Raw genomic sequence first — 9,700 nt, forward strand, 5'->3', positions numbered from 1 at the left:
TTCTTGGGCCCGAAATATTTATACTCCCCTTATATACTTCTTGTTTCATCATCTATTGTTTCTCCTCATAACATTACACTAAAAAAATAAGGAAAATAAGGGTATGTCTGCATTCTGTCAAATAAATATCTTCCATTTCAAGTTCAATTTGCATCCTAAGTGTGATAACAATAGAAAAAAGCCATAATGGAGTGGAGTGATGTCGTCTGATTTACTTTACACCATGAACTCCTTTTCAGATAAATGTAGACTGGTCGTGCCCCTACAATACAAGTCTTCATTAATTAGTTATTTACCAGTTACTTATTGTTAAACCACCTTCCCTTAAATGATAGGTAGTGTGACCTATTTTAGGAGGCACTGTTTTGGGTCCGGAGAAACCACTCTTTGTTACTAACTGGGTTCTGAACACTCTGAAATGGCAAAAAGTTGCAGGCAGGGAACACATATGTCACCTTTATTTTTGACAGTAGAACTAGGTGTGTTAAAACAAATGGCTTTGCCAACACTAAACCCTAGAATCAGACTGAGTTACCCATGTCAGGGTAGCATGGGTCCAGGAGAAGTTCCCTAAGATGGGGAAAGTAGTGGGAGTGGACAGCCCGTGGGCAATTTGTACATGAATAAAGAAGGGTTCCCAAGAAGGGGAGGGTCAGGGATGAAAGGCACATTCTTCTCGGATATATCAATCATAAAGATGTCTTCATCTCTCCAGAGGCTGAGTGAATAAAGGGTTAGAGAGAGGTCAGAAGGACATTTAGGGGAAAGTCATTCCTCATAGGAAACAGTAGTGAGAAAAAAGCTCTTTTAATACCCTAGACTACTAAAACAAAAATAATTTAGATTCTGGCTCTAGCTTCCTAACTAACTAGCTCTAAAACCTTGGATTGTGGTTCTCAATCACATCCTCTACAGAAAAAAAGGCTGTAGAGTTGGCGAATTTTAGGGCCTCTTCCTTTTTATAATACAACAAAATTACTGTCATTTGTCATTTGTTGAGCACTAGTCCTAGGCACTGTGTCAGAGCATCTTACACTCTCCTTTATTTAATTCTCAGAAAGTCCATCACTCTATAAAAATCCAGAGGGTTAAATGATGGTTTATGTCATACAAGTTAAGTAGAATAGTCGGGATTGCAACTCAAGGTCAATGAGTCACTCTGCTCTGCTCATGATATGTGAATTAAGGTGCCATACACAATACATGAAGAAAGAAGCACTTGGTATCTTGGTATTTTTCTTTGAGTCTATCAGCCGCCAAATATTTCTCAAAATTACTCAAGATTTATATTACAACCAGCTATTGTAGCACAAAATAGAAATTGAATATCTTCCCCAATCTGGGAGAAAAGAGCTCAGAAACGACTCCTACTTATTAGAGATTACTGAGTAAAGTTGCAAATTGATGAAAAAGACTAGACTCTGTAGTAATACATCCTCAGTGCCTTCACTCCAGGTAAAAAATGGTTCACCGTAAGAAGTCACAACTGTGACAATAATAATCGTCATTATCATAGTTGTTGCCTGAAAGATAGAATTCTGGACTTAAAATCTTTATTTTTTCTATTTTGAATGAAACCATTCCAGATTGAGAATATTTATTCTTTAGATAAAGAAACTTTAACATAATTCTTTGCATTAAATAGCAGAATCTGAATTTAAATTTGGGGATTGTATATTTTTGATTTAAAAAATAAGAAAATTACTTTCCACTTTTGAATAATTTTTCCTTTAAATATGTGAGACCCTGGAATTTGAGGCAGTAAACAATTGCATCGCCCAGAGTTTTCTGGACTCCAGACTGTAAGACACTGAAAACAAAGGTGAGAGCTGAGCTTCAAATGCTATTCTGATTTTTCAGTCACCTGACTGTAGATAGATAGCTTGGGGACTCGCTGAGTCCTGTCAATCAGATTAAACTCACAGACAGAAAGAACAAGAACCATGGGCATAATGAGTAGTTGAAGACAGGAAACATTTTATTAGATCAGCTCTGAGACAACACCTATGCACATCTGATCAAGAATTCAGTTTGCTTCTGATTCTAATTCTGCAGTAATCTAGAAACCATGATTCCAGCCAGCACTGATATAAGTGGAAATTTTAGCATGGACAGTACAGTATTGGGGGTTATGGATAGAGTTCCATGATCTTGGAATATTCTCTCATAATGTTGGGAGTGGCAGTATGGTTAATTGAACTGTCATGTGAAACCTCTGCTCATTAAGGGCCTCCTGGTAAGTGGAAACCCTTTTCCTTTAGTGAATCGCATGTAGCACACTAACTGTATGATGAGAAATTTGATAGGCAGCTTGTGGTGAACTCAAAGAAAAAAAAATTAAGAAACTCAATGGAGGCAGGGCACGGTGACTCGGGCCTGTAATCCAAGCACCTTAGGAGGCTGAGGAAGGCGGATCACTTCAGGTCAGGAGTTCGACAGCCTGGCCAACATGCAAAACCCCATCTCTACTAAAACTATAAAAATTAGCCAGGCGTGGTGGTGTGTGCCTGTAATCCCAGCTACTCAGGAGGCTGAGGCAGGAGAATTGCTTGAACCTGGGAGGCAGAGGTTGCAGTGAGCCAAGATCATGCCGCTGCACTCCAGCCTGGGCAACAGAGCAAGAGTCTGTCTAAAAAACAAACAAACAAACTAATGAACAAACAGAAAAACCAAATGTAATGGAACAAAAATGTTTCACTGGACTTAGAAAATATGTAGGCTTAATACACCCATCAGAAAATACATTCTATGAAAGAAGGGTTCAGAAAGATAGTGGTCAGTAATACAGTTTCAAGATAGCAGGCAGAAATAAATATGAAAATTATGCTATATATTAATGCTTTTCATAGCACGCCAAATGTAGTAGCTTTGTCAACTCTTTAAACTATATTATAAATTGTTAGTCATCGAAACATAAACTGTCTTGTATATACATTAAAACAGATTTTCATGGTTAAGTAGATTGTGCATTAAATAAATTCTAGGGTAGAGTTTTGCTTGATTCATACATTTGGGACAGAAGGTGCATATGTATTGTGTTTTCTTGTACTTCTTTCTCTGTTGTCTATAAAAGTGAGGGGGTATGCCTAAGAAACACCTGGATGCTCATAGCTCCTTATAGCTCATATTTGGATTTGTAAAATGTTTACAGCTGTGAAAAGTGATACTTCAGTTTATAATCAGCGTTTATTTCTTGCAAAACAAATGAAAATTAGGTTGTTATCTTTTATTTAGGAGGCAGAAAAATTTGATCTACTATGCAGTGAAATTTATGGGAAAAGAAGTTTAAATTGTGTATTTTTAAACACACATTTAAAGGATCTCGGCTGATTTCTTGTCACTGGAGCAATGGACATAGTATGTTGTTTACTAGCGATATTCTTTGCCTAAATAAAATTTAACTAAAATTGAATCAGACAAAACATATGAATCCTCACATCCTATGGCTTTCTAGAAGGCAATGTGCTATACAGGACTGATGCCTATTTCATTTTGCTATTCAATGTTTTTATTAATAGTAGTTTGGAGAATGTCGTTGACTCTAGCAATTCTTAGGATGGGGCCATCTTTATTTCTCAGTACTTCTATTTTTCTAAATTTTAAAAATTACTTGCTCATCAAAGCATAATTGTTAAGTCTAAAAATCACTTTAAGAATCTAGAACTAGAAATACCATTTGACCCAGTAATCCGATTACTGGGTATGCACCCCAAGGATTATAAATCATTCTACTATAAAGACACATGCACACGTATGTTTATTGTGGCACTATTCACAATAGGAAAGACTTGGAACCAAGCCAAATGTCTATCAATGATAGACTGGATAAAGAAAACGTAGCACATATACACCATGGAACACTCTGCAGCCATAAAAAAGATGAATTCATGCCTTTTGCAGGGACATGGATGAAGCTGGAAACCATCATTCTCAGCAAACTAACACAAGAACAGAAAATCAAACACCTCATGTTCTCACTCATAAATAGGACTAGAACAATGAGAACACATGGACACAGGGAGGGGAACATCACACACCTGGGCCTGTCGGTGGGTGGGAGTCTTGGGGAGGGATAGCATTAGGAGAAATACCTAATGTAGGTGACGGGTTGATGGGTGCAGCAAACCACCATGGCACGTGTATGGTTATGTAACAAACCTGCACGTTCTGCACATGCACCCCAGAACTTAAAGTATATTAAAAAAGAAAAACAGAATATCCAATCCTCATTTCCAAGACTTCTCCAAAGCTAACAATTTTTGTGTAGGCTGTGTTTTTGTAAAGCTTTTTATTCTCTCTCTCTGTATATGTACACACGCACATACACACTATAATATACAAATGTATATTACATAAAGAAATGTTTGTTTATTTGCAAGTGGTTATACATAAAATATGCCAGTCTACATAATTTTATAGATCGTATTTATTAATTTTATAACTTTTTGTCATATTAATTCATATGGATCTATTCCATCCTTTTTATCTGTTGTAAAATATTTATTCATATGACTATATTATAATTTATAGTCTCCAACTGATGAACTTTTTCATTGTTCTCAATTTTTCAGCGTCCAGGTGGTGCTGAGGTGAATATTGTAGAACGTGAAAGGATGTTTAGGTAGAAGGGACTTTGAGAAGTGAATTTACCTTGTCATAAAGTGTGGGTATTTTAAATATTCACATATATAGTGGCTGTTAAATTCCATTTCCATCTGCAGTATGTGAGAATATATTTTTAAGTTGCCACATGATTAACTTTAAAAAAGTTTGCCAAATGGATGATTACAAATAATATTTTGTAGGTTATAATTACCTATTACTAAGGTTGAACACTTTTTAATATTTTTATTAAATCGTATTTTCTTTGTTAGTAATTGCTTATATACTTTGCTTATTTTCTATTGAGTCATTTGTTCTTTCTTTTTTTATTTTTATTTTTTTGAGACGGAGTCTTACTCTGTCACCAGGCTGGAGTGCAGTGGCACGATCTCAGCTCACTGCAACCTCTGCCTCCCAGGTTCAAGCAATTCTCCTGCCTCAGCCTCCTGAGTAGCTGGGACTACAGGCGTGCACCACCACACCCAGCTAATTTTTGTATTTTTAGTAGAGACAGGGTTTCACCATGTTGGTCAGGATAGTCTTTTAATTTGTAGGAGTTCTTAAATATTTTGGATAGTATTTATGGTACATGTTGTATATATTTTCTCTAAATCTGGTTTTTTTTTTTTCTATGTTTTGTTGCTAGGTTGATTTTTTCGTTAATAGACTATTTCCGTAGGGTTAATATTTACAGAAACATTGAGCGGAAAGTACATGGCGTTCTGGTAGGCATTATCATCCCCCCATCCTTACACATGCTCTTGCTTTATTTTTAATTTCTTTGTGATATCTCATATTACCAGGAGCTTTTCATTTTGATGTAGCCATATTTGCTAATCTTTTATTTTACAAGTATTGTTTATTTGTTTGTTTGTACTTACTTGAAAAAAATCTTTCCTATCTAAGGTCTTTAAGGTAATGTCTTATATTTTCCCTTTTTTATTTTAGGCGTTCTTTTTTCTACTTAAATTTAACTACACCTCTTTTCAAATTTGCCTGTCACCTCACACATTTTTTTCCATTGAGTACTCATACCCTAGTTACCTCACCATTCAGATGTCACTTCCATGCCATTTCTTCCCCTGAGTGTTCTTTTGTTCTTCAGGTTAGGAGCAATCTTCTTGCCTGCCAGAGAGTCTTGCAAAAAAAAAAAAAAAAAAGGTGATTTTCTTTTCTTCTCCGGAAGTTTTTATATTGTACTTAAACTAGTCAAGACAGTATTATGCTTGTTTCAGTATATTATTCTTCCAAATAGTTCTTGAGAACAAGATCTATAAATCTTGATATCCCCAAAGAGTCCTACTCAGTGTCTCAAAGAATAAGTTTACCATTAACTTTTGTAAAGAGAAAAAAAAATGTATGTTTAGTTTGGACAACTGAATGCTCATCTGGGACACACAGTAATTATTTCCAAATACTTGAACACCTATCCTAGGTTAAAGGAATTGAAGTGGTCCTATATGGTCAATAGATCATTGCTAAGGGCAACTATACAGTATTTTTCTCAATACGAAGAAGAAATTTTCAGCAAATAGAATTCTCTGAAAATTGAACGAACTCACACAGGAGTGACTTGATTATTCCCAGCCTCATTCAAGCAGAAGCAGTGCATTAATATTTCTTCTAAAGCCCTTTGTACACACAGTAGTCCTACTGAAGGAATGAATGACATATTAGCTCTATTTATATGCTTCGTGAGTTTTAATTTTAAACATTGACTCTTGATATTGGGGTTTCTTCCCCATCTTTCCAGACTTCAGTTACACCCATCTCTGGGGATCATTTTATTTTTCTTTAAATATGATTTGCTTTTTATTTACAAAAATGCTTAGGGTATTTATCATGTTGTTTTCACCACTCAAATAGATGATTTTATTTTCATTTTTTGGGTAATAACTTACAGAGGTTAAATGACTTCTAGGAGGTTCAATATTAAATTTATTTAACTGCTGAAACCTTATCTACAAAACCAATAAATACACATACTGTGCTGAGAAATAAACGTATGTTTAATACTCTATGTACTCTTTATTAAATTGATTTATGTTTCCAAATTTCTGTATATCAATATTAATGTAGACATTCTAGGTGAGATAAACATAACATGTTAAAAACAGAAAAAAACAAGTCAGAAGCTTGTGATTCCATATTCTACTTTTTTTTTTTTTTTTTGAGACTGAGTTTCACTCTTGTAACCCAGGCTGCGGTGCAGTGGCACAATCTCGACTCATTGCAACCTCCGCCTCCCGGGTTCAAGAGATTCTACCTCCTCAGCTTCCCAAGTAGCTGGGATTACAGGCATATACCACCACGCCCGGCTAATTTTTTTTTGTATTTAGTAGAGACGGGGTTTCACCATGTTGGTCAGGCTGGTCTCGAACTCCTGACCTTAGGTCATACACCTGCCTTGGCCTCCCAAAGTGCTTGGATTACAGGCATGAGCCACCGCATCTGGCCCCTTCTTTGTATCTTTAATTTAGACTCTAAACTAAATGGCAGGAAAGCAGCATTTTGACAATGCTATGTATATTGCCCAGAATATGGATGAAATTTTAGTAAATGTGAAATAAAGCATAAGGAAAGCCATTACTTCCAGACAGAAATTTGTTTATTAACTAAGAACTAGGACATTTTCCAGAGTCAGAATGCAATAAATTGGCAAGGCAAGATGATAGGAGAATCCTAAACGCAGATTACACATAATTGTAAAGGGTCTCTAACAGTATTTGTTCTTCTTTCAACAAATAATTTTCATGCTTTAGCTAATTCTGAGGCTTTTTCTTAGGCATGGAGAACAAAAGCTGAGTACCAGTGAATCTTGTTTTATGGCTTCTCTGGAAGAGAAGATTTGCTGAAGTCTTCTATTTTTGAGCTCTAGTCACCATTGCTATTTGCCTGTTCTTACAATCAATCAGTAAGAAAAGGATGAAATAGTTCAACTTATTATGCTCAAGATAGTGTTTTCTATCGGCTTATTAGCAAGGTGCTAGTTAGGTAGTTGACAAAAATATTAATGACAATCAAAGCCATCCGAATGAATTTGCATGCTGGAATCTGCAGTCAAACCATGGAGGCCCCATTTCATCAGGAAAGGTAGGTGATAATCACACTGTCAGACAAGTGACAGTGACAGCCAAAGTAAGAAAGCCGGTGATGGTTGTATTTCAAATGGAGTCTCTTCGGTAAGTCCATTGTAATAAATCTCAGAAATAATGATGTTACCTTCAGGGTCAGCTTTTAGTACAAAGAGCAATAACAGAACAACAGAAAAAAGAAAACCTAGCAGGTGATACTGGCTGTGGTTAATAAACCTGGGAGTTGTATTTGAACTTAATGTAACAAGATTCTTAGGCTGAATAAAGAGATTCAGCAGAAAATTAGACGTTCTAGTACTTAGTAGAATCTTCCCCATTGGGCAATTTCCAGCTGCTATAAATTCTGGAAGTTGGTCAATAGCATTTCAGAGGTCTGCTACCACTGCACAAATACCTCAGAGGTGGAAAGGTACTGGGTATATAGCTCAGAGATCTGAAGCTTCTAGATAAATAGCTCAGTGGTCGGCAGCTCGTAGGCCTGTAGCTTGAATAGTGATAATTTCTCACTAAATAGCTTTGGGGTTGGCAGCTGTTGGAAATATAACATAATGGTGAGACGTAGCTGGGTATGAAGCAAGGATTTTGGTAGCTTTTATACCCCAAAGTACTCAATCTGCAGTGGTTTAGAGTTTGGAAACTCTTGGATAAGCAGTTAAGTTGTCCAAAGCAGTTGGAACCGTTGCGGAGGGTTTGGCAGGCTTTGGATGCATTTCGAGTGGGTATGTGGCAATTGCATACATACCCATTGGTCTGGGTGCTTGGGCTGCAGCTGGGGCTGGGGCTGACGTTGGTAGTTTCACAGACACTGAAGACTTGGCCTGCTGATGGGGAGTTGCAGGGCACAGAGGAGTTTGACGGGTCACAACCAGTGGTACTGCAGGTCTTGGGCTCACAGCTGGGAGATTTGCAGGTTGGTGCTTCACCGTAGGATTCTTGGCAGTAATCCAGGAGCCAGAGATTTCCTTGGTAGCTACTGGGTAAGCAGTGTCCAAAGGTAGGGCTTAAATCACTGGAGCTAAGAGTAACAGAAGAGGTCACTGGGATATAACAGTGAGTTCTGTATGATGTGGTACTGCAGACCCCAGGATAGCCTGTAGTAGACATGGAGCCTGCAGGCATGCTCAGTGGTCGCTGTGCAGTGTGTCTGTGGCCTAAGGACGTTTTATACCTTCCCTGGTGATTGTCAAAAGCCTCTCCAGACTCTTTCTTCTGTCTGCTTGGGGCAATAACACAGCAACATCTCATTAGTGTGTTGGTTAGCCACAGAGGCTAATGTTTTCACACGTGTAAAAATAAGTTTATTTTAATTCTTCAAAGTATCCATAATCACCACTTTGACCATCACCCATCACTCATCATCTGTAGACCATACCTTCAGCAAATAGTGATTTTCATGTTAATAGGCAAACTCTCATCTGTCAATCAGAGGTTAACAAGAGTTCATGGGTCTATGGGCTTCTGCAACATGGTTATTTAAAGGTTCACAAGGACTCAAGTAAAGCAAGTAACCTGTATTTTTCCACGCTGTTAACTACTGGAAAACACTGAAGGACTTAATCATATACTCTGAAATAAGTCAAGTAGTTTGTCTGTCTCAACATGGTTACTCAAAAGCAGGCATTGACCTTTCAAGAATCAGTTTTCCAAATATGTGCTATACTCTTACCTGTGCAGGGCCATATACTGGTAACGGCTTCTCATGTAATGTATTAGGAGAAGTTCATAGGTAAGACTCACAGCAATACTTGGGAAACTTGGTGACCAACACCTGGCTAAAAATGAACTTGTTCCCAGGGGGCATTTGTTGCTAAGCAACCAAGACTTCTGTTAAATCCCTTCTTAAAGAGTGTCGGCAATATGCACTATCAAATAAACCCAGCTTTGCAAGATGATACCTTCCTAATTGACTAAGATTACATATCACATGTTCCATTGCCTGCTGTAAACCCCAATTGCTGTCAGATGTAAATATTTTCCCCGTTTTTCCCCAAATAAGTTCTCTT

The 9,700-nt window shown here is 37.2% G+C and overlaps 1 protein-coding gene across 1 annotated transcript; it reads right to left on the bottom strand.

Annotated features, from left to right (window-relative positions):
- Window positions 1-7,192: 7,192 nt before the first annotated feature.
- On the bottom strand, window positions 7,193-8,834 carry KRTAP24-1 (keratin associated protein 24-1). The gene has a single exon (NM_001085455.3). The coding sequence runs from the start codon at window positions 8,814-8,816 to the stop codon at window positions 8,052-8,054; it is 765 nt and encodes a 254-aa protein (NP_001078924.1). The 5' UTR covers window positions 8,817-8,834; the 3' UTR covers window positions 7,193-8,051.
- Window positions 8,835-9,700: the final 866 nt, after the last annotated feature.

Source organism: Homo sapiens, chromosome 21 (assembly GCF_000001405.40).
Source record: "Homo sapiens chromosome 21, GRCh38.p14 Primary Assembly".
NCBI classification, from domain to species: domain Eukaryota; kingdom Metazoa; phylum Chordata; class Mammalia; order Primates; family Hominidae; genus Homo; species Homo sapiens.

Coding starts and splice junctions, on each gene's coding strand:
- KRTAP24-1 (NM_001085455.3), bottom strand. CDS start 8,816: ATGCCTGCAGGCTCCATGTCTACTACAGGCTATCCTGGGGTCTGCAGT.